At 34.5% G+C, this 26,011-nt stretch overlaps 1 protein-coding gene across 2 annotated transcripts; it reads left to right on the top strand.

Annotated features, from left to right (window-relative positions):
• Positions 1-25,025, top strand: MYL1 (myosin light chain 1). Of its 2 annotated transcripts, none has more exons than NM_079420.3 (7): positions 1-264; positions 12,660-12,687; positions 16,612-16,755; positions 20,757-20,930; positions 21,375-21,452; positions 24,101-24,143; positions 24,708-25,025. In NM_079420.3, exons 1-6 carry the CDS (start codon positions 133-135, stop codon positions 24,127-24,129), a joined length of 585 nt encoding a protein of 194 aa, NP_524144.1. In that variant the 5' UTR covers positions 1-132; the 3' UTR covers positions 24,130-24,143; positions 24,708-25,025. The 2 variants fall into 2 exon arrangements, with proteins under 2 accessions (NP_524144.1, NP_524146.1); NM_079422.3 differs by lacking the exons at positions 1-264; positions 12,660-12,687 and adding exons at positions 11,560-11,633; positions 12,383-12,407.
• Positions 25,026-26,011: the final 986 nt, after the last annotated feature.

The following is a 26,011-nucleotide window of genomic DNA, read 5'->3' as shown; positions in this document are numbered from 1 at the left end:
AACACTCTGGGTCCATCTTCAAGACACTGGGCTGTGGATCAACCCAACCACCACTCCTCTTCCAAGAATCATTTTGACAGGTTCTTTTGGAGGAACTCCTTCTCTTTTTAACCCACCCTTTTAAAAAAAAAAATGGCACCAAAGAAAGACGTGAAGAAACCTGTGGCTGCGGCTGCGGCTGCCCCAGCCCCGGCACCGGCACCTGCACCTGCCCCTGCCCCAGCCAAACCCAAAGAAGAAAAAATTGACCTCTCTGCCATTAAGGTAACTAAATGGATGAACTGTTTGGTCACTGAAACATCTTTCAATAGTAAGGATCTCTAGGAACTTGCAAAGGCGTGTATTTTTCATTGAGAGGAATAGCATTATTTAGTGAGCTGGTAGATTATGAAGAAGAGAATCCTGCTTTAAAAAATGAATGCCAGCATATAATTTCAAAAATTATTAGAGTATGGTATCATATGTGAAGCCTGTGCTTGCTCTATTTTTTATTCTCAAGTTTCCATTTTCTCCTAAATTGCACTTATACTGTTTAGGAGAAAAGTATATATGCTTAACAGTGTTGCATTTAAGAATATTTAAACCAGTGTTTGGGTTTAAATAAAATCTCTCTGGAAACCAGATCCCTTACTTACAAATTACATCAAAAGGAACGTTTTAGCCCCTACTTATTTCCAGAAGTTTAAAAACAGCTGATGGCCCGGTTGTCCTTTATGTATTTGACAGTTACTTTCCTTCTTCTGAAAAAGAAGATTTTTTGCAATTCAAGTTAATTCTCCCTTCAGCTTTGCCTAATAAAATTTGATACAACACTAAATGAGATCTCAGTGCAGAAAATTATGCACTCAAGTGTTTCAGTGACTGTAACTGTCATCTTGTTTATTTATACACAGTATTTAATTCAGAATTTGTGAGTTTCTTCTAAATGAAACTAACAAAAATAATTATAAAATTTGTTATTTACATGGCTTTTAGCTTATGTCTTAGAGTATTTGCCTACTGATCTTGGACTAAGAAAAATGTGATTAATTATTGTGTTAACACTTTGCTGTGATCAAAGTTCTCAATTGCCAAAAGATTATCTGCTTTTGGAAAAATAGGTACGTCTGTTAACTTCCAGTGATGTGACTCATTAAATGTGCACCTTCTCTTCATTCACTGAGTTCTGATTGGCTCATATTACAACTTGAAAATTTTTATCTAAGGAAACCTGCCTTATATGGAAAATCAATGAGCAATAGTACCCATGAGGTGAACTTTTCACTTAAGCCAAAAGTTGTATATGTAATAAATCTCAATTTTGCCAATTTACCATTGTTTACTTGTAACTATGATGCTGACCCATAAACAAACATTTCATTGACCATTTAATATAACTATAGAATTTTTTAAGTCCCAAAAATATTTAGTTAGATCACCCTTAGACATTATGTAATGAAGTTAAATATATTTATAATTTATATAACATTCCAATTAAACATGAAATTTTGTTTAAAGTATAAGTAAATTATCACGAATATTTAATCTTTAGTTTGTAGGTATTTGAAGTATTTGAAAAAAATTGGTCATGGAATATAATATTAAGAACTATTCTTAATGGATATCCATTTAGGAGGACAAAAAAATGCATGTCAGGTCTTCTGATAAATGTTTTTCTAACTTGAGGACTGCATGCATACAGTTCTTTAAGAGGAAACCAAATTTTTCATCTCCAGCAATCCTAGTTAATGTATCCTTTATAGATGCATACTGTCTACATTACACAATAAGTGAGATCATAGCCATGATAGTAATTCTGATTGTCCCTCATCTTTAACTCTGCACTCTGTAGTAACATAAGAGATATGAATCAGTGTCAAAGCTAGTCCTTTATTTATTGTGATTTATAAGACAATGTTACCTGTTTGTATCTGGTATTACAAACTTCTGTAAAGAAAAGAAAATGTACCTCTTTACCTAAGAAGCAAATGAAGTATCTAACTAATGAAAACAGGCATTAATTTTCTTCCCTGAGGAACTGTGTAAGAATGAGTACATAAATAAAAATTGTTTGGCAGGTGAGAGATCTCCAAGAAAAGACAAAACATCTCTTTTCTAATCCAGAAATTAAGCCAATTACTTGTTCATAGTCAGCAGAGAAGCAACACTTTTCAGAATCTTGAAAATTTGTTTATTATTCTGTCAATATGTTAAATTGACATATTGACATTCGTCTGTCAATATGTTAAATTGAGTTGTACAAGCTTAATATTGTGTAATATTGTGAGGATACAATATAAGCTTATACAACTAAGCAAAAGAAGGAAATACCCCTGGAGTGTCTCTATGAGAATTGGGTATGCTCCATCTTTATTATTTCATTGCAGAACAAGAGATGTGATGGATTCTAGTAAGGGACACAAATCAAAAAGAAGTTAAATGAATCTGGAAGAAACAGGAAAAAAAATAACCTTTATCTTCCATCCAGAAGGCCCATTTGCAACAGAGAAAAAAAAGAGAAACAAATGGAAACTAACACACTTTTGTAAAGAAATGTAAATATCTTCAATGCTTTGCATTCATTAATATGAAATAAATCAGTGCATATTTAGATGTATTCTAGCATGGCCAAAGAAAGTGATACAACTCAAGAATTTTATAAACTTTAATTTTATCCCAGGAGGTAACAGGCCTAATTAAAACATACATTAAAACATTTTATATTATGATGTTTTTAATCACTTAATAATGTTTCTAGATATATTACCTCATAAAAGCTATACAATTTTTTCAAGCAGAGAAAATGAACTTTAAAGAAATTAATAGAGCTGTTATATGTATTCATTAACTTTCTGAAAATTCAATAAAGAACAAAACTTAATTGGATTATAAACTTTCTTTCATAAATCAAAAAAGATTAGAAACTTAGCTGTCCTCTAGACTTTGAGTAATGCTGTAGTTTAATCATAACTGCCTTTGTGTAGTACTATAGTCATAGCCATGGTAAAATTTAATTTCTCCATAGTATTCCCAGCTAATATCTATGTTTCATATTGTAATATACTACATTTAATAGCCATATATTTGATTCCCCCATAAATCTTGAATAATCTTGAATATAATTAATTAGTTTTATCAACTGCTTAAATGTGCTTTCCAATCTGATTTCCTGGTTTGTTAGTTATTAGTTTACAACATTTCTTCAATTGTTCTGACACAAATTTTATGATACTCTCTGAAGGAATGCTTACTTGATGTCCAATCCTAATGGATTTTCTATGAGTACCCTTTTCAACAACAAAATACTGTTGATATTTGAACACTAAAGTTATTGTCCTTGGTGGTTCTAAGCACTCTTTGCCTTCAGAGAGCTAATACTCCCAGTAATCCAGAACAAAAGAACACAGCCTAAGAGAATCACAGTTACAGGAATTAAAACACAGCATAAGTATGGTTGTAGGTTCAAAAACAAGAATATGCATTGCTCAAAACTGCAACCAAGCAAAATAATGAAAGTAATAACATAACCATGTACCTAGATTGTAGATCTTCAATGTGTAAGTGAATTTTCTGCATGATGCATGCATTATATGTCAGTATTGCTGTGAGGTGATAGGATTGTGAATCATGTCTCTCACTGTGCTGTTTGAGTTTTAATTCTCGTATTCACCACTTAATCAGGTCAGCCGTGACTAGATATTGTGAGCGATATTATAAAACGTGGTAAAGGTACAGAATGCATTGACAGAAACTATCAAATAACGAATTTTGCATCAACAATTGACCACATGCCTGGGAAGATTTAAACTTTCAATTTAATATGTAAGGTAGAAATCTAATGTTCCCAAATACATTTACTTACTGATGGGTATTCAGTGGAGGCAGATAGTTTTATACGCATTGTGGCACCCAATTTGTTTTGGCCCAGGTATAGGATTACTTTTGTTCATCTGTAAGTTCTTTTTTCTCATTTCCAACAAAGCTAATATAAATCCAGTTTCCTTTAGAAGAATTTCTGAGAAAAATCAAATGAAGTCATGCTCCACGAAAGGCTCTGAAATCTATAAAGCTTTTTGTAACAATAACCAATATTCATTGTGAATTTGCTCTTTGCCATGTTATCTTATTTAATCCTCACAATATTACACTGAAGTTATTGTATCCACAATTTAGAAGTAAAGAAACTGAGCTTAAAAGAGGGTAAGTGCTATACATATGATCAAATAAGTAGTTAAGTGATGGACCTAGGGTTTAACTTAGCAAGCAAAATCCAGAGTCAACTGTGTTAACCATATCCAAAACTACCACCCTTATTTATAAAAAGTAAGTTGCTGTTTCTAAGAATGTGTAAAGGAGCCCTTTTTACTCTTAAGGGTATGAGGTAGAGTGGTTTTTATATTGCCCTGCACAGTCCTGTGTAACCAGAAGAGGGGATGACAGACACATCAGAGCAAGTTCACCAAGACTTTTGACCTTGACTGTTCACTACTATTCTGTTCTCCATAGCTTTTCCCTATCTTAGCACCTGACAACTTGGGTGTTTTGTTCTGCAGAAGGAGGGTGAAATATCAGGAATCTAGAAATATTCCTGCCCATTTTGTTCCGTCTTCCTATAAGATGTTGTAAATGGAAAATGGATATTTTTCAAATGCTATTAGATATAATGAAACTGAGTTTTTTTAGTAATTTTGGTTTTGTTTAATTAAACACACATACATCAAATATGACCTTCAATTTTTGCTATCAGGCTAATATTCTAAGGAGGGTATGAGATCTCTATTTTGTTTACAAATAAACAGCATTATTTAAACTGGAAATCCCAACCTATATTCTTTGGGATGGTATGCAGAAATACAATGCCACATGTACAATATGATAAAACCTTAACCCTAACTACTCTGAGTAAAAGAACACATGTAATCAATTTCTAATTCGAAAAACACAGGTAAAAATATGTATAGGTTGTTTCTAACTTTTCTTTACATAATCTTAAAAGTTTGTTTTCTTTTACTCTGGCCTTTTAATAGTTCAAATTAATTTTTAATACAACTGTAATGTTAGCCAATTGCAATATTAATCCATTTGCAGTGTAAATATAACCTCAGGAGCAAATCAGAAATTACTTGACACTATCACTAGGTATCAGTATCACATTTCCTCTTTCAAATGTCTGTCTATGCTGTAACAGAAGAGAACAGGTGGAGAGAAGTGGGAAAATATTAAAGGGCATTTTGTAATTTTCTCTAGAATTATATTTTGATGGATAATGTCTTTGAAAGGAAAATGCAGCTTTGAAAAGAAGAGATATGTTCACCAATTAATAGTGAATAACACTTTTAAGTAAAACTAAATATTTGCAAGACAAAGAGACCATAAAGTGACTGTGCCAAATTTAGCTCTCGGCATTTTAGTGCTGCAAATGAACCCCTGGCAAGTTGTTTTTAGAACTCATTCCATAATTACCTAGTATTAAGCACCATCTGACTCATGGTGGAAAGGATTATATTTAGTCTGCTGATACTACACTTTCTTCTGCTGCTCTTCAGACTGAAATACTTTTCATATAAAAACAAGATCTTCTGTGATTTGTTTCTATATCAACTTCTACAGCTTGTTTCTTACCTCAAAGCAGAATTTGAAGGGCAAAAATTACAATATAAAAGTAGAAATGGCTTCAATTATACTAGTTAAAAGGTATATTATATGGATGATAAATTCTGGCTATTCTGGTCACAAATTAATAACAGTGAAGTGAAGCCAGAGAAGAAAAGTATCCCTAAAGATATAACTACATCTTATCAACTTTATACTCTTCCTTTCACTGTGATAAAGTACCTAGTAAATGCCCCGTGGCATATGTCTCCTGTTTATAAAAAAATCCAACTGGCTTGAACATGGTGTTATGAAGTTATGTTTTGTTTATCTAAATTACTTCAGACTAATATTACCTTTGAATTTTTAGGCATCCTTCCTTTCCCATTAAAATGAGTGAGTTGAAGTAGATTCTACTGACAAAAGGATAGAAAACTCACAACATTGTAGAAACATAAGGAATCCTAGAAATCGTGCAGTAGAATATTTTCTACTGAAGAAACTATAGCCTAGATGAGAGAAGTTATTTCATCAAAAGACACATGATTTATGATAAGAAAGCTAAAACAAAATTCCCAATCTGGCTCTCTTTCCACAAGTTCTTGAAGTCTCCAGGACAGCAATGCCAATATTCTTATCCCTGCGGTCACAAAAGGAACTTTTATTCCAGACAAATAGGAAGAAGCAGATATTTATGTCTTAAAACACACACACAAAGAATTTTTTAAAATAATGAACAAAAACACAACGTAGGTTTTTAAGAAATTACATGCAAACAAATGCACAAAGGAGACAAAAGTATGGCCAGCTCTCAAGAAACTTTAAATTTCTTTACCAATTATTAATCATGAGAAAGCTAATGAGAAAACTGAAAAAGTATAACAGGTTGTGCTTCTAGATTTTTATTAAAATTCACTTAGACCTCTCTTAGTTCCTGTAGGTCTGAATTGTTTTGTTTTAATAGTTGAGTTTTTGCTCTTATGTGACTGAATTCAGTTGACTGATCTAGGACTTCATAGCACAAAATTAAGGATTTTATCTCAGACCAGATCAATTTATGCAATCTAACCACCTAATCTCTCTTATATTGCAGAAACTGGGCTGGTACCATATTCTCAATACTCTTAATTTCCCCTGTTTATACCATATTATAGTGACTAGAATATATATATATATATATATATATATATATATATATATATATTAGCCTAAGTATATCCTATGTTGAAGTCAAAAATGCAAAAATATTTATTTCCTTCGACTTGAGTTATTCTGAAGCACAGAACTCCTAAGACTTCCAAAATAGTGCTTTTCCTGGCCTTTTATGGTGGTTCCTAGAAACTCTGTGAGATTGGAGTGAAAATTAGGTAAAGTTTAAGGATTTATATACATCCAGGTCTTTGGTCTCTCTGCCAGGCGTTAAATCAGAGAGCACACAGCAGTGTTTTCTTTGATTGAAAACTGGCCCTGATTATATTAGCTTCTTTATTTAGCCTTTCTAGTCATTAATCCCCATTGTATGTTGCAAGGACCATCAAGTTCTTTGAAGAATGTAGTCCATGTTCCTTCCCAGGGCATTTTCCCCCAGTATTCGACATTACATGTCTCCCCAATTATCTTTAATTATAGCTCTTCTTCTTTTACTAAGGCTTAACCTACATCAGTTCCAGAGCCTGTTTGATTAACAGCGTTTTAATATTTTTTCTATAACTCAATTCTTTGTTAGGTTGGTACAAAAGTAATGGCAAAGCCGCAATTACTTTTGCACCAACCTAATATATACATTATCTGATGTTTAATTAGTTAATTTAATCTCATTATTACTATTAGAAAGATGCTTCTCAAAGTAAAAAAGAATTTGTAAACATTGTAATAAAAAATTTTTAGTAGCAGTATGTTGTAGACTACTGTTACCTAAATCCGACATCAATTGATAGCACGAATCATAAAAACGTGGAATGTAACTAGTTTACTAAGAGTCTAAGCAAATATGTAGGCTAGAATATAAAAGAGCCTTAAAAAGAACAAATTGGGGATTGGAAAATTAGAAGTCCAGGTCAAAAACATTGATATAAAATCTAAAGGAAGGTGCTACAAATATAAAGGTACATAAACAATAATTCAAAATGAACATGCTAACTTTGAGCAGGTGAAGTCTTTTCCCTCAGGGTACACAACATTCTAGAGGAGAAGTTTATATTTGAAGGGGGAGCTTAGGATATACATGTTCTAATAATTTTAACTTAATGAAAATCTATTGAGCTTCAAATATAGGCAAGGTATTCTATAGAGAGTTACAGAGGGATAAACCGTAAGAATAAGGCAAGGGAAGTGCTCTATCGGAGACAGGTTGGGGTAGGCTCACATCCAGGTCCACATCAGGAACAAATGACTTCGGGAATGGCCTACGCTTCCCAGTTTACAATCAGGAAGGTTAAAAAATTTTCAGTGGGATGAAGAGCTGGGTGATGTTGAATACTGGGGGAAACAGAGAGAAAACGTTTCTTTCAAGGGAAACAAATGTTATCAGGGCTTGTTGCATATTTAATTTCTAAAAAGAAGCAATGAGAGGAGAGCATTCCAGAGAGAAGAAAGGTAAATCTGATCTTTAAAACTAATTGATGACATAGAGAACTGAAGCCAAAACCAGCTGACATTGTGTATTCATATTATACAATTAATTTACCTTTGTTCAAAGGACTGATTACCCCATCATGATAACCCCAAGGAAGAGAGAGAAGATAAGTTTTGTCATTTATAAAAGTAAGCCAGACAGAAGAATCGCTTGAACCTGGGAGGCAGAGGTTGCAGTGAGCCGAGATCACGCCATTTTACTCCAGCCTGGGCAACAAGAGCGAAACTCCATCTCAAAAAAAAAAAAAAGTGTGCCAGAGGAAAAAAATTGGATTTCCCATTTATTCTATGAGCACAGAATCTAGGTCTTCTAGTTTTTAAACTACAGTTTTTTCTCTAGACTATACTGTAGCCTTCCCTACTGTTGTCACATAAAGTGCTCAAATATTTATGTTGATTCTCAGTAAGTACCAAAAAAATCTAAATGCATTCTCTATGTGATAAAGGTATGGAGAAAGACTAGGGTGAAACAGTTAACAACTGCATACCACTTAACTGCTTCTATTATAATAATAACAAACTTTATAGTATCCAAGTCATTAGAAATAGCTTATTCATAACATAAATTCAACTTTTTTTTTTTTTTTTTGAGATGGAGTCTTGCTCTGTAGCCCAGGCTGGGGTACAATGGCGCGATCTCAGCTCACTGCAACCTCCACCTCCCGGATTCAAGTGATTCTCTTGCCTCAGCCTCCTGAGTAGCTGCGACTATGGGCGTATGTCACCAGGCTCAGATAATTCTTGTATTTTTAGTAGAGGTGGGGTTTCACCATGTTGGCCAGGCTGGTCTCAAACTCCTGGTCTCAAGTAATCTGCCCACCTAGGCCTCCCAAAGTGCTGGGATTACACGCATGAGCCACCACACCTGGCATAAATACAACTTTCATTTTTTTAATTTATTTTTTTTTTGTGAGGGAGTTTCATTCTTGCTGCCCAGGTTGGAGTGCAATGGCACGATCTCAGCTCACCGCAACGTCCACCTCCAGAGTTTAAGCAATTCTCCTTCCTCAGCCTCCCCAGTAGCTGGGATTACAGGCATGCTCCACCACTGCTGGCTAATTTTGTATTTTTAGTAGAGACAGGGTTTCTCCATATTGGTCAGGCTGGTCTTGAACCCCCAACCTCAGGTGATCCGCCCGCCTCGGCCTCCCAAAGTGCTAGGATTACAGGCATGAGCCACCACACCCAGCCCTAAATACAACTTTTAAACTTACTTTCCAGTTTACTCAATAGATTTTACATAAATTAACCATATTTTATATCTAGGCAAGGACACTTTTTTACCTGAAAAAAATTATTAAATATGAAAATAATTATGTTTAGTAGGGCAATTTTGATGGTTAATTTTGTATTATTTATAGTTATTAGCTCAACTAATGATATATGCTAGTTCTCAATAATCATAAGATGATTCAAATTTAATAACATAATTACATAAATATAATTACAAAACTAAAAAAGAACACAAAGATAACATGGTAGGCTCTGATGCTTTCATTTATGTCAAAAATTATAAGATTCCAAATCTTGTAATATTCAAAGTTACACATTTCCACCTTTGTCTTTCCCTTCCATTTCCCCCAATGATTCAAAGCATTTTTTATTTTTCTATTAAATTTCATTTCCCAATAACCTTTCAAAATGTCAAGCTATTTACGAAAATGTTTACCTGTGTACTAATAATTTTAAAATTGTATTTTCAATCTTCATTTTGGAACTCAAGATTCTATGAGATATTTTTTCCTACTTATAAACTTAGAGCCAAAAGTGATATGCATATTAAATGCTGATTTCTTCTGAAATGGTTTCAGGAGAAGTTACAAAGTATATGTCTTTCTAGAAGGGAAGACTTCATGTTTTTTGTGACCATCCCCCTAAAAACAGTTGCTGAAGCAGTACTCAAGTTACAATTAATCTCCAATATACATTATGCCTGTGAGCTGCTTTAAACATGTAGAAAACTGATAAATATTTTGTGTGAACTTTAGTGGACATCCTAGGAGGATCTTTTCCTGTACCACTTTTCCCAGTACCATTTCCAGAAGGGAGTTGCCCGCTATTTTCAGGTAAGCTACCATGAAAACCCATTGCTGGCCAATCCCCTAGATACCTTTAAAATTCTAAAATACAGTTTTGGTTGGACAAGGTGACTCATGCCTGTAATCTCAACAATGGGCAGGATGATGGCTTGAGGCCAAGAGTCCAAACTAGCCTGGGCAACATAACGAGACCCTGTATCTACAAAAAGTCAAAATAAAAATTAGTCAGGTGCAGTGGCACATGCCTGCAGTCCTACCTACTCAGGAGTCTGGGGTGGGAAGATCACTTGAGCCCAGGAGTTCAAGGCTGCAGTGAGCTGTGATTGTGCCATTGCACTCCAGCCAGGGTGACAGAGCAAGACTCTGTCTCAAAAATAATAAAATAAAATAAAGTACAATTTTGTATTCCACAAGCTCTGCCATGCATTCTTTTGGCTTCTTGGTCTAGGGACTGAGCCATAGAGTGTTTGCCAAGGCAGAAGTAGAAATAGAAACAGCATGATCTAGTAAGAACTTATGTGTAGTTAAAAAAAATGTATAGGATGAGAGTAAAAGAATGTAAAAATGATCTATCAGCTTTCCTGCCTAGAAAAACTTCTGAAAATAAAAAAAATGACTACTCAGCCATTATAAAGATAACAAGGAGGGAAGAAAATAACCAGACCTAACGTAAGGAGACTAAAGGAGAATGATGAAAAGCGGAGATCAAAACTATTCCTGGCTTAGATTATGCTTGCAAAAGAGTGATCTTTAATTGGAGATTGAAAGACCTGACCAGATTGTCACTTGGGTGCGCTCTAAGAAACATGCAGAATGTGCATGGCCTTTTCAAGTCCTCTGAACTTTACCATAAAGGACAGTACACTTCAGAGGATGCTCCTGCTATAGCAGTTGCCATTTGAAACCCCAAACCAGTCCCATCCAAAAACTTGCATTAATACCAAAACTTGCTGACTAGAAGTTTGTAAAGTCCACTGTCATCAAGAGAAGGGTCTGGCCCAAGACCTTAAAGAAATTCTAAGCTCTTCTGCCATCAAACAAATAGGAAGCTTCTTAAAGGAAGATGCTCCAAGAGAACATCTTGGAAATAAAGACCATAAAAGTACCGGCAGGCTTCCATCTCACTATGGCTGTCTACTCCAAGGTTCTGGTCATCTAAAAATAGCTCTCAGGGTACAGATCCATCTTTCCCTTTGCCCTAAGAAAGCTAAAGAACTCTCCAAGGGGTGTGGCAACTTATCTCTGAAACCTGATGCTAGCTGTGAGGTCAAAGCTTGCCCAGAAATAAAAGGAAGCCTCAGCCAGGGATGACCCCACTCAGGGACCGGAGCAGCCCTCAACTCACTCTTCAGCTTCCCTGCTGTGTTGCAGCCCAGCCGCTCCATCATGGTGGGTCCTATGAGACAATAATTTGTCATTTATAGGAGAAAATAGATAGAGGATATGATCTTATTGAGAAGAAAGATAGGCAAAAATGGAACTGAGGAGAGAACATATTCAATATGAGTCTTTAGTATCTACTTTTGGGTTTTGTTGAGATCCATTAAAGATAGGAGAAAATAATTAGAGCTGTTTATCAGCTGGAAAAATACATCTTCCAAGAGCTGTGCTTTATGCTTCACCAACTCTTGCTGTATCACATAAGATTCATTATATCTAAATTTAGAAGAAAAAAACCTGTAGCTACAGCAAAATATTATACATTAAAATACAATCCAGTGATGCTGATAGCTAAAACTAAGTAAACTGCTTTTGATGCATTGGGTTTTGTGTACTATTTTTTTAAGCACTGGTTAAATAGAAGACAGACTTAAGGTAGTCTTTTTAATGTGTATATCTGTACTTTAACACCGTGTATCTTATTAGACATATCTTAAATATACTATAGATTATTTTTCTAGGAAGTATTAAATGTAGCATTTAGTTAAATCATTAAGATGCAGAAAGATATTCCCTAATTATCTTTTGCAATAGCTTTTTATGTTCCTAGATTCAAAAGTATCCTAAGGCAACCTTCTAATGCCAAGACACCTACATAGCTTCCTAAAAATCTCAGAGCAACCAGCACTCATTCTTCTGTCAATGCATTTGAAAGAGTACTAGTTTTTTTTCTTTCTTTCTCTTCTTCGCCACTGCAGTCCTTCAGTGCTGACCAGATTGCTGGTAAGTGAATTGAGTTTGTCTGCTACAGATGTAGGCACAGCACTGCCTAGTTTCTGCAATATTACTTATCTTCAAGGCATGTTACACTATGGCTTAACCTGTTAGTGTCCAAGCTACGCCTGAACTCTGAAAAGTAGGCTGACTTTTGGAGCTTACTTTGAAGATTACTCAGGGAATGAGCTGGATACAACTAAAAATCAGCACATTTTTGTTTGGTTAAAACATTCTTTGTGGTCAATTTCTTTCTAACAGATCGAGTTCTCTAAGGAACAGCAGGATGGTAAGTTTAAAAGCTATGGTTCTTAAATGTGCACACTCATAAAGATGGCATGTGTGAAAACCAACTCCCTTGGGATGAGTTTAGCTCTTCCTAATTATCCCCACTGGTGTTGCCATTCTGAATATAAATTGCTCTCGATCACTCTAAATATAAATTAGCTCAATCTGAAACCCTTGCTGATACTCAGTAATCAAAGGTTTAACAAACAAAAGATAAGCACCACAAATAGGCCCTTATATTTGCTGATATCTAAATAAAACCAATTTGATACAATAGATAATACCATACATATATATATATATCCCAAAAAGATGTAGATTTTAGATGGCTAAATTGCTAATATAATCCTTAAAGAGAGATTTGACAAGTCTGAATTGTCAATTTGAAAAACAAAATTGATTACAAAACTGCCCAATTACTAAACCTATATCATTTCAATGGATAACATAGTGAGTTGTAGAACAAAAATGAATTCAGAAACAAAGAAGAAGGATTAATTTATCATAGAACTGTAGAAGGAACATTAAATGTCTCCTGGTTTAACCCCTCCCTGAGATATGCAAGACAGACTCCAGAGAGGTGACAGGACTTTCTCAATGACTCAAAGAATTAGTGATAGGAGCAAAATCTGACATTAGTTTAAGTTGATTACAAATTTATTTTATAAAAACAATTACTAGCTAGGAGACTCCAAACTCTTAAGATTCAAGAGAATCTGAATAGTTTCCCTAAAAAGTCAACCTTTTCACCTTTGGGTCTTTGGATCCAACAGATCCCATACTCCACAGGAGCTTGATGTTTTCATTAGCAAGTGCAGGGAGGAATGTTTTATGGAGTGAAAGAGTCACATATCTAAGTGAACTGAGACACAAATAAACCTATAGATGGAAGGAGGAGAAAAAATTAGCTTCAAAATATTGTATAAATTAGAATATTGGTCATAAGTAGTATGTCTATATTACATATATTAGATATGAAAATATAAATAATTATAATTATAGGTGATTAATAAGAACCTATTCAAATACTCAGTTCTCTACCTAAAGGATTCCACATTCTTCAAGTCTATTTCTGCATCTGAAATAGTTCATATTTGAACATAAATTGAGAAAAAGGGATATTTACTGTAGTACAGACTCACATGCATCTGTATCATGGTTGATGGCCTCATGTAGACAGATTAGATGATATGGTGACCCATAACTCAAGATTATTTGAAATTATACTATGAAGGACTTTTTTCTCATTGAAAACAGTTGGTGATTCTACCATAATTTGTTTGATTTTTAATGCATTTTAACTAGTGATGCTGCTACATTGTCACCTACTGCATCCCAGTCCTCTCAAATAGCTAATTTACAATTGTTGTGACAAAACTATTGTAGGATCAAGCAATGGAAGACTTAAAAACCCTTGCAAGGACTCAATGATTTAACGTTGAGCATTAAACCTTTTATTCCATCTGTGAAATAGATTTTAGACACAGAAGTTCAGCAAACATGGGTGTAGTATACTGTTTTCTTTGTGGCAGGAAAACAAATGTAAGCATTTTAAATTATGTGGAAAAACTATAGTTTCTTAAATGAAAGCATTCTTTAGTTTGTTTCCTTGTTTAGTGGTTAAAGAATTTTGTTCATGGCTGCTCTATTGGAATCTATCACAGGATTGAAGGAAAGGGTGCAAAAACTGGAAAATGACAACATTCTAAAGGTCTAAGTCTTGTGCTCTCCAGTAGACACTAGCCACATGTGGCTATTTAAACTTTAATTAATTAAAAATAAAATTTAAAATCCATTTTCCTCACTTGCACTAGTCACATTTTAGTGTTCAAGAGCAACAGTTAATAGCCACCTTTTTGGGCAGCCCAGAATGACAACAATTCCATTATTACCAAAAAGTTCTAGAACAATACTGTTATAGACCAGAAGTTAGCGAACTTTTTCTTAAAAGGCCAAATAGTAAATACGTTAGGCTTTGCTGCCAGTATAGACTCTGTAAAAACAACTCCACTCTGTCACTGAGGTGTGAAGAAAGCCATAGACAATTCATAAAAGAATGGGAATGGCTGTATCCGAATCAAATTTTATTAAAAAGAAACAGGCAACCAGCCCCTGGAAAATAGTATAACCAGCCCTGGTATTAATTCTTCAAGAGAATAACTAAACTTTGGGTTAAAAATCTGGGGTAATAAAATAGTGTCTTTCTGGTCTCTGCCTTTAAATCACCAAAAGTGTTAATGTCACAGTGATTCTATTACAGCCCATAAAATCCTATTTCTACTTCGGCATCTGACCAGGGTAATAGTGAGCCTGCTGAGCAGTCTGTCCATGAAAGCCTGAAGCCAGTAACAAGAATAGTTCAGTTTCACATGTCCCTTAGAAAGATGAAAAATAATATTTGACTAATGACTTCTCAGTGCCTGCAGCAAGTTTTTTAGCTTAGGGAATTGATCTGTAGTCAAATTGCATAGAATTCGAGGGGGAAGTTTTAACAAATAATGGTAACATGATCTGTAGTGAATTGTGAATATAATGTCAGTGCGATGTTAGATTAGGGGAGGGAGGAATAGCAAGATGGAATACTTTGCTGAGTAATCTATCTAGACAGCACCTTTTGATCTGAAACCACTGATAGCCTAAAAAAATGCTTTCACTTCTACCAATTTATTCACAAATGATTTTTTGAGTATTGTTGATATTAACTGGAAGTCATCAGCAGTACTTTTGGGTTTCCCAGAAAATGTAATCTAGTTTATAAGTTCTAATTAAAATGGTTGTACTGGCCCCCAGATCCACCAAAGACACCCTTTCTGTCTTTGATATACATTTCTAAATTTTTTGTCACTATAATTTTGAAAGTCAAACCAGTTCTATCAAAAGAGAATGATTAAATTTAGAGAAAGTCATCAATACAATGATTATAATTAGAATAGAGAACACTTTAAAATATGTATTCATAAAAGAATGGGAATGGCTGTGTATACTTAATACATACACGTACACACAATGAATCGAGCAAACTGGGAAAATGTGACTAAAATTGATGGCGTCTACCAATGTGAATATCTTGGTTATGATAATATAATTTTGCAAAATGTTACTACTGGAAGATACCGGGCAGAGCATACAAGAGATCTTTCTGTATCATTTCTTAGAACTGCATGTGAATCTACAATTTTCTCCATAAAATTGTAATTACAAGGCATAGCGAAATTCTAAAGCTGATATAGCAACATATGTCATATGTATTATTTGATAAAAGGGTAAAGTATAAAGAGATTATCACAGCAACATACCAAAACAAATATTTCTCCTTCTGAACTGATTATACGAGGAGCCTAATAGAGTCACACATTAGTTAATAAACTATAGAATGTATAGATTTGTCTCACCTTTCTAAATTTTTCCTGAAAAATAAAGTTATTCCTGGAGAAAGCTGGTTAAAGGGATAACCTAGGAAATTTGTACCCAAGAGGAGGTTTTTCTACATAATTTGAAAAGTTTGAGTTAACCTCACATACCATGAGCCTGATTGAAAATTTGTTCTTTCTGAAATTTTGTTAATCTTGTTAATTATATGAGAGATTATTAAAGTTTCTCAAGGCCTTAGAATTTTTTAACCCAATCCAGGTTTCCAGGCAGGTAAAGGAAATATGAATATGACTAGGAGCTCCAATTTCCATATCTGATTAACAATAACAGGCAACTTAAAGTTGGAAATGCTGTTTTAAAATAACCCTGAAAAGAAATGCTAAGTTTTTGCCAATGATATTTGGAGATACAAAAAGAGAATCCAGGATAACAACTTGCATAGTTGGCAGAAGTTGTAAAACTGAAGAGTTTGAACTGAATTTTTGATAAGGTTAGGTTTAATTAATAGGTTAGAGGAAGAAAAGAGCACTCTAATGCTTCTTGCTTTTTGCAGAATTCAAGGAGGCATTTCTCCTGTTTGACAGAACAGGTGATTCCAAGATCACCTTAAGCCAGGTCGGTGATGTCCTTCGAGCTCTGGGCACAAATCCCACCAATGCAGAGGTCAGGAAAGTTCTGGGAAACCCCAGCAATGAAGGTAACCCATCAATTTTTCCAAGAAGTGTGGAAGTATAGGGAAGTGTGTAGCAGTGTGTGTGTGTGTGTGTGTGTGTGTGTAGTATGTGTGTGTGTGTAGTATGTGTGTGTGTGAGAGAGAGAAAGATTGATTTAAAAATGTTTCACATAATAGGGCTCAGTTTATTCTTGATTGTGGTAAGTGTGCCTCTTGGCCATAGAAAGTCTCAGCTTTTTGCTTTATAAAATAAGTTAAACTTCCTTTGAGAATTTGCAAGCGTGGTAAAATGTCATGCTAATATCTAATGTTAAGCATTAGATATTAGAAATAATACCTAATGCTAATATCATTTCGAATGTTCATAATTAAAGGCTAATGTAATGAAATAATATCCAAATCTGCACATTTTTTCAGACTTCAAATCTTCAAAGGCAAAAACACATTTTGGCAAAGATGTTAAATATGATTTAAAACACTTTATAAACAATTCTGAGTAAATTCCAGTGGCACAGTTCTAGAGAAGTTCTCCTCTGATAAAAGCTGTGGAAATGAAATTGCAACTTTGTCAAGCAACTGAAAAATACATGCTGACTGCCATGTGCTCTGTCCTTTGACACACTGCTTCTATGAGTGGACAGAAGCAGGGTGTCAAAGGACAGAGCACAAGGATAATCCTAGGAAAAAAATCAGTGATAAATGTTAGTGGCAAAATTGCAGAAGTCATTTACTCAATCCAGAAATCCAGTCATTATTCTAGAATAAGGAAATTATTTTTAATCCCAATGGTTTTATTGAAAAGTATAATAGTCTAATGGAAAATGATACTCAAAACAAACAAAAAAGACAAGACACATTTGCAAGTTGTTTGACAAGGGATTAATATCCAAAATATGTAAGAAACTCAACAGCCAAAAAAAAAAACCCACGAATAATCCAATAAAAAAATGGGCAAATGAACTGAATAGACATCCTTCAAAAGAAGATATACAAATGGCCAACAGATGTATTTTAAAATGCTCAATATCACTAATTACCAGGGAAATGCAAATTAAAAACCACAATGAAACGCCATCTTACCCACTTAGAATGGTCATTATTAAAAAGACAAAAAATAAATGCTGTGGAAGATGCAGAGAAAGGGGAACTTTTATATACTGTTGCTGAGAATGTAAGTGCAACCATTGTGGAAAATAGTACGGTTTATCAAAAAACTAAAAATAGAACTATTATATGATCCAGCAATCCCATCACTGGGTATATTTCTAAAGAAAAGGAAATCAACATGTCAAAAAAAGTCTGTATTCTCATGCTTACTGCAACACTATTTACGATGCCCAAGATATGGAATCAACATAAATGTCCATCAACAGATGAATGGATAAAGAAAATATTTTATATATATGTATATATATATATATATATGTACACACACACACACACACACACACAATGGAATACTATTTAACCATAAAAAATGAAATTTTATTATTTGCTGCAAGATGGATGAGCTTGGAAGACATCATGTTAAGTAAAATGAGCCAGGGATGGAAAGATAAGTCTACATGTTCTCACTCATATGTAGAATCTAAAAAATTTTGATCTGGAGAAGTGGAAAGTAGTGCTTTCTAGAGACAGGAAAGGGTGGAAGGAATAAGAGATAGCCAGAAGTTGGTTAATAAATACCAAAGTATAGCTAGATTGGATGAATAAATTCCAGGGTTCTGAATAAATTCTAGTGCTCTAGTCCCTCCTGAGTAACTAAGACTACAGATGTGCACCACCACACCCAGCTACTTTTTGTTTTGTTTTAGTTTGTTTTGTAGAGATAGGACCTTGCCATGTTGCCCAGGCTGGTCTCGAACTCCTGAGCTCAAGCATCTGCCCGCCTCGGCCTCCCAAAGTGCTGGGTTTATAAGCGTGAGCCACTGCGCCCAACAGAAACCTTATTTTTAAATGCCACTTCCCAACTTACCAAACATCTATCTTTAACGAAGAGAGGAGGGAATAAGACATAGCCAGAGGTCAGTAAATGAATACAAAATTATAACTAGATTGGAGGAATAGTTCTAGTGTTCTAAAGCACTATAGGATGACTATACTAGCAACAATTCATTTTCAAATAGCTGAAAGAGTTGATCTTGAATGTTCCCAATACAAAGAAATGATAAGTGTTTGAGATGATCAGTATGCTATTTATCCTTATTTGATCATTACACATTATACACATGTATCCAAATATCACACTTTACCCCGTAAATACATACAATTAGTATGTGTCAATCGAAAATAATTTTTGAAAGAGATACAAAACTGAAGTTTTTCAAGTAGATATTCAGGCTGTTTATCTTTGCCATTAGGAAACAGAGAGAGGGGTATGAGATAACAAATAATCTTTTTCTTTCCCTTGACAGTTGAAAATTCTTTGGTGACCTTCCTTTGTTAGAAGAAAACTTGATTTCAGGAAAACTCAAAATCAGCCTGCTTACTTCATTTTCTTTGGAAGGAAATTTCCAATTACATCATGTAGAAAAGCCAAGAGCATGAGATAAAGTGAGCAAGCAATAGGGCAAACCCTATTTTTATTTTTTCTTTCTTTCTTTTTTTTTTTTTTTTTCTGAGGCAGGGTCTCACTCTGTCACCCAGGTGGGAATGCAGTGGCATGATCATAGCCCACTGCAAGCCTTAACCTCCCAGGCTCAAGCAATCCTGCCTTAGCCTCCCAAAGTGCTGGGATTATAGGCGTGAGCCACCACACCCAGCCAAACCTAATTTTAATTTTTTTAATTGATTTATTTGCGATAGGGTCTCACACTGTCCTCCAGGCTAGAGTGCAGTGGCATGATCTTGGCTCACAACAACCTCCACCTCCCAGGCTCAAGCAATCCTCCCACCTCAGCTTCCCAAGTAGCTGGGGACTACAGGCATGTATCACCATGCCTGGCCTTTTTTGGTTTTGTTTTTGTTTTTTTTGTAGGGATGGGGTCTTGCCATGTTGCCCAGGCTGGTCTCAAACTCCTGAGCTCAAGGAGTCCACCTGCCTCGGCTTCCCAAAGTGGTGATGTTACAGGTGTGAGCCACTGCACCTGGCTGAAACCTTTAAATGTCACTTTCCAACTTAGCAACATCTATCTTTAATACAATTATTTGGTAAAATACTCATTTATTCAGCATTCAAATTTAATTTTTTAAATATTACTCAATGTAATTTCAGTGTAAAAATATAAATTGCGTGTAATAGAAATATAGACAAGTAGTAAAAAAAATTTGATTTGGTGAATACATAACTTTACCCATTTGTATACAACTGGATAGTATAAAATAGACTGTCCAGATTTTCCATGAATAAGATTTACCTTGTCAGAAGATAATAAAGTCCTATCATCTCCTGGCCTCTAAGGTACAAAGAAGTCAGAAGATCACAAAATATTTGACACACACTCTCTCCTTGTAAACTGCTTAAATTACTTAAAATTTAAAGAAAGGATTTAAAGAACGGGAAGGCCCTCAAAAAGCTGGGGACAAAGGTGGAATATATACTAAAGCTAAGTTTTACTGTATTAATCCACTAATGAGTTTGTTGTATCTCAGTGCATTTTTCTATTGCTTGCAAGTATTTATGGGAAATATTAAATGGACAATACTAAAAAAAAGCTAACACTTATTAAGCACTCAGTTTATACTAGATATTCTATTAAACTTTGCATTCATTAGCTCATTTAGTTCTCACAATAACACTATTAGTTATCTCTATTTTACAGATGATAACTTGAGGCACAAAAAGGTTAACTAGAGCACTGTCAGAGTTGCAAATGGTAGACTGGGAATAAAAGCTCAGGAACTGCAATTCCAGACCTCATGCCATTAACTATTACCATATTCTTGATATTTTAGCAATTTACCAGCTGAAATTTAAGCTGTGTGAAGGTTTTTCAGATAACCTAGAATAACTTTTCAAGTTTAAATTGTGACTCAGAGTTAGTATTATGGTAGCTAATAACCCTCAAAATTGCAATTTCTTACAGAGCTGAATGCCAAGAAAATTGAGTTTGAACAATTTCTGCCTATGATGCAAGCCATTTCCAACAACAAGGACCAGGCCACCTATGAAGACTTTGTTGAGGGTCTGCGTGTCTTTGACAAGGAAGGCAATGGCACAGTCATGGGTGCTGAACTCCGCCATGTTCTAGCCACCCTGGGTAAGGGAATTTATTTCAGTGGACTTAGTGAGACAGAATATATAGAAAAGAACATGACAGGAGAATCATGTCACTACCAAAATAGGAGGAAAGACTACAAAGGGAAAATGGGAAAAAAAAATAGTCAAAAGTTAATGACCATTTCAATTGGCCTCAGTGGCAGTGAGTTTGGTGAAAATGTTAACTTAAAATATTGGTAATGAATAAGTAAAGGAAAGCATGGTAGTTCTTACAGGACACTTTGTATGACAACAGATAATGTGTATTTAATTAACTCATTCAAAAACCAATTAGTTGACAATATATTAAGTACCAAAAGAATGGGAAAGTCACAGTTCCTATATGTCAAGAGTTTAGTCTCCAGAGCCCTTGACTGATGACCTATGGTGGATTTTGAAAATAACACATGGCCTTCTTTCTGAAAGGAGAGTTTTGTTTCATCAGGTGAAAAGATGAAAGAGGAAGAAGTGGAAGCCCTGATGGCAGGTCAAGAAGACTCCAATGGCTGCATCAACTACGAAGGTAGAATCAATGCTCACTGGTGGTTACAGCAACTCTTAACTGATCAGATTGATGATGGGCTCCTTTTGAGCTTCTTTTCCTCTTCCTTCCTTATTGACATACATATGACAATCAATTGCATAACTCTAAAAAGATATGTGAGGATCTGAACATATAAATAACATTTATTCCAGTGTGTTTTAGCAATACTGTGCATTGTTTTAAAGCTAAAAATGTGTTTTCACATATATTTTTTGTTAGATCTTCAGAACATCCCTATGAGTTAGACAGGGCTGATGTCAGAATCAAATTTAATAGAATATTAAACTTGAAGAAATCTCAAAGTCATTTACTAATATGAAGCAATTATGAAAATGAAACTTCGGGCCAAATAGGTTTAGTTACTTGGTGAAGGTCAAATCACTAATGGCCAGGCTGGTGGTAAAATTTACTTCTTTTCCTTGTCTAGTGTTCTTGCTTACATGAAAGTCAGCCCACAGTTGCCAATTGTTTAATTCCTACTACCAATTTACAGCAGCTTCACCCAGAGGGTGTGAAAGCAATGCACTACAGAAAACAAAGATGCATAATATAATTTACAAATTTAAAAATTTTTTAATTTGTAAGAAAATTTAAAAATGTTTCTATCCCCAAAGAGAATGAATCAAGTTACATATAAATAAAGACAAAAAGAGAAAAACAAAGAAGAGAAGAGAATGAGAGGGGAAGAAAGGAGAAGAAAGGAAAGGAGGGAGAAGAGGACAAAAAGAAAGGGCTTAGCCAAGCATATCTTCACTGACAATCTTGATTAAACTTCACTTTTTTCCCCGTCGACAATTCTTCACATTTGGCTATTACCGTAAATACACTCCATAGAGAATCATTCAATAAATACTGTTTGAACAAGTGGACAGTCATCTAGAAAATAAAGTCAAATCTGAATTTTATGCCAAGACAAATTTCAAATAATTTACATGTGAAATGTAAAAGCTAAAAACATAAAGAGCACAAAAATCACAGAAGAATTAATTTTATAACTTTGGAGTGGTTACGTTTTTTCTAACAGTGACACAAAAACCAGACGGCATTGAAAATCTTGACAAATTTAATCACATACTTTAAAAAATCTATATGGCAAAAGCCACCAAAGCAAAGTCAAAAGACAGCAAACCAGAAAAAAAAAAAATTCAATTAATACCAGAAAGAGCTAATTTTCCTAATAAAAAAGAACTACTACAAATTAATAAAAGATCATATCCAATAGAAAATTAGCAAGTACATGAACAGACAATTCATAGGAAATAAAATGAATAAAATAAGATGACAAACTACATTAATAATTTTTAAAAAGCAAATTAAAACTACACTGACAGCTGGGCGTGGTGGCTCACGCCTGTAAATCCAGCAGTTTGGGAGGCCCAGGTAGGTAGATCACTTGAAGTCAGGAGTTCCAGACCAGACTGGCCAGCATGGTGAAACCCTGTCTCTACTAAAAATACAAAAATTAGCTGGGCGTGATGGCACACAGTAGCCTGTAGTCCCAGCTACTCAGAAGGCTGAGGCACGAGAATCGCTTGAACCCGGGAGGTGGAGTTTGCAGTGAGTGAAGATCGCGTTACTGCACTCCAGCCTGGGTGGCAGAGCAAGACTCCATCTCAAATAATAATAATAATATAAAACTACACTGAGATATCATTTTTCAATAAGCTGATTGCCAAAGATTAAATGTTTGGGCACACTTTGGGCTGAGGAGAGGGTGTGGAAACAGGCAATTTCATGTATCACTGATGGGAATGCATGTTGTTAAAACCCCTAGGTTATGGTGTGGTACTACTAATTGCAGCAAATCTACTTCTGGAGAGACTTAGTCTCTAGATATACTTTCACTCAAATGAGATGACCATATATAGATGGTTATTCATTACTGTGCTGTTCATAACTGCCAAATTTTTTTAACAATTTAATGTCCATCAAAGTATAATTTCATCAATGTATCAATGTGAAAACAATCGAATGTCTATCAATGTATCAATGTGAAATTCTCTGCAGCCCTAAAAAATAGGGACACTCTTGTGTACAGTTATAATATCTGTAAGATAAATTATTAATTGAAAAAAGGAATACAAAACAATGTATAGAGTATGCCATTTTTTGTGTAAAAAGATTTTTAGAAACATATTTATGTGGTCTTGTATATGCATAAACAGCTCTGTCAATTTAGCAGTAAAAAGGGGAACCAGTTGCCTAGCAGACAGTGATGGGAAACATTTTGTTGTTATATACCCTTTCATACGTTAAAGAAAATATTTTAACCATAGCTGGGCACAGTGACATGTGCCCGTAGTCCCAGCTGCTTGGGAGGCTAAAGCAGGAGGATTGCTTGAGCCCAGGAGTTTGAGTCAAGCCTTGACAACACAATGAGACCCTATGTTAAAAATAAAAATGTATGTGAATGTACCACTTATTCAAAAAATTAATTTGCAAAATCAGGGCAAAGGTCATAAATCCACTACTAAGAATTATGAGCTATACACACCTTAAATACAAAAGAAAAGAAACTATTGTTACAGCTAAAAATAGGATTGAGCTAACTCATTAAACCTCTCTTTTATTAAATTTGACTGTTTCCTAACTCTAAATTGTCTATTTTGTCTATTTTGCTCCTACAGCTTTTGTCAAGCACATCATGTCTATCTGAATGGAGCTCTCAAGGTATATACCAGTTCCCTCTTTAATATTTAAGGATTTCTTGATATTGTGTTTTTTAAAACTTGACAGCTTCAGTTTATATGCTATAGATTAATATTGGTTCTTAATTACGAGATATTTATATTAATTAGAAAATATTAATGCCTTGAAATGGGTTATTCAGAAATAGAGCATTTTTGTACGAGATATAAGCAAAAACCTATGAGGTTTTTGCTTCCATTCATAAATTCTATCTTTGTGACTGTACTGCAATTATGCAGTGGAGACTCAACAAACCAGAGACTAGTTAATTAATTTAATTGGAACAGAACACTAATAAAAGCACAGGCAAACGTTTTTTGGATAACCAAAGTAGTTTTTAACAGTTTCTGCTCTAGAAAACCGTGTTATAACAGTCCAAATTCAAGCACTTGCAACCAGGTTCTTACAACTAGGAATTGGCTCATCTTGTAAGTGCTGGTTCACTTTGCGCTTTTTATTGTCTTACACTTCACATTATTTCCTCCTGAGTTTTCTTTCTGAAAAGATGCAATCAATATCTAATTCATTTTCCCTTTTTCTTTACAGAACAAGCATTGTTTAGGAAGACTGGCTGGAAACTTATTTTAATCACACCCATGACAAACTCTCCAGATCTGTTTACCATCATTCAGGAAAACAAAGCAATCTGGACGGTTCAAGACTGAGCAACTCCCTGAATTTTTATACATCTTCAGTTTTTCTCTGAATTGAATTCATACCACACAAACAAAGTGTCTGCTGCTCTAGATGAGAAGAATAAAATATTGACAATCTCAAATCCAAGCACCATTCTTTATTATCTACCATGAATCAACAAACATTCTTAAAACAATAAATCAATAAACAATTTTGGTCAGTCTGGAATGTTCAAGTCACATTGCATTTTTATTTTCTTAATGAAAATAATTTTTAAAACTTCAATTATTTTGTTAAATGTAGAGAATATTGACAAATTATAAACTTTTAAAAGAAGAAATCACTGAAGTCTACATAGCAATAACAAATTGAATAATAAAGATAATCATATGTTACTGAAAAAGTAAAATAGAAATCTGAGGAAATTCAAACTGGATAAGAGACATTTTATAAAAACTATGCAGGTAATTTAAAGCGAAAACAGGTTTCTTCGGATTTGTGTAAATCATTTTGTTCATGGCTTGATCTATTTCACTTCTAGTGACAATCTGGCCTATTAGAAAAGTCTAGCAAGCCCTTGATCCTTCTCACTTAATGTCTTCAAGGATAAGATTTAAAGTGACCTTTCAGCTATAACTTTTTAAAAAACCCTCTGGGATGGGATTGTTGCTTAAGAACTCAAGATCCTGTTTATTAATATTCTCTCTCCAACTATGATTCCCTCCCCTTTGCATGTCCATGTCCCAAAATATTAGTTCAATCTTTTAATAGATGTCAAAAGTGGTAAGACAAATTAACAGAAACATTCATAGTGTAAACTTTATTTCAGAATGCTATCACCTGTCACTTTTTCTTTAGAACACATTCTGAGGGTGAAAAAATTGACTGTTTAGAAGAGATGAGTGGTAAATACTTCTCCATACCCCCCTAAAAAGATAATTTTAATATATAGTATTATAAAATATTTGAAAAGCACCTGCCTGCCTATAGATCTTTGGAAGCTGAAACAACTTTCTCCTGATATTGGGAGCTTCAAATCAATGTGTTCCTTCTGTCTGGCAAAGGGTCACTCAGATTTCAGTGGCAGAACTTTAACTTCAACCTCTGCTTTTGTAGTCAAGATGATGTTGCGACATTGAAATCACTCTTTTAAGGAAAATGCACTATAGTTTCATGATCTTTAAGGCCAAGTTTACCTAAGACCAGGAATTGGA

The sequence above is a fragment of the Homo sapiens genome, chromosome 2, assembly GCF_000001405.40.
Source record: "Homo sapiens chromosome 2, GRCh38.p14 Primary Assembly".
NCBI classification, from domain to species: domain Eukaryota; kingdom Metazoa; phylum Chordata; class Mammalia; order Primates; family Hominidae; genus Homo; species Homo sapiens.
This window is presented reverse-complemented; position numbering and strand designations above follow the sequence as displayed.

What these genes read in the sequence shown, in the direction of transcription:
- MYL1 (NM_079420.3), top strand. Translation starts at nt 133, where the DNA reads ATGGCACCAAAGAAAGACGTGAAGAAACCTGTGGCTGCGGCTGCGGCT. An exon ending in CCATGTTCTAGCCACCCTGG is followed by an intron (nt 20,931 to 21,374) that starts GTAAGGGAATTT and finishes TTGTTTCATCAG; the next exon opens with GTGAAAAGATGAAAGAGGAA. An exon ending in TGGCTGCATCAACTACGAAG is followed by an intron (nt 21,453 to 24,100) that starts GTAGAATCAATG and finishes TTGCTCCTACAG; the next exon opens with CTTTTGTCAAGCACATCATG.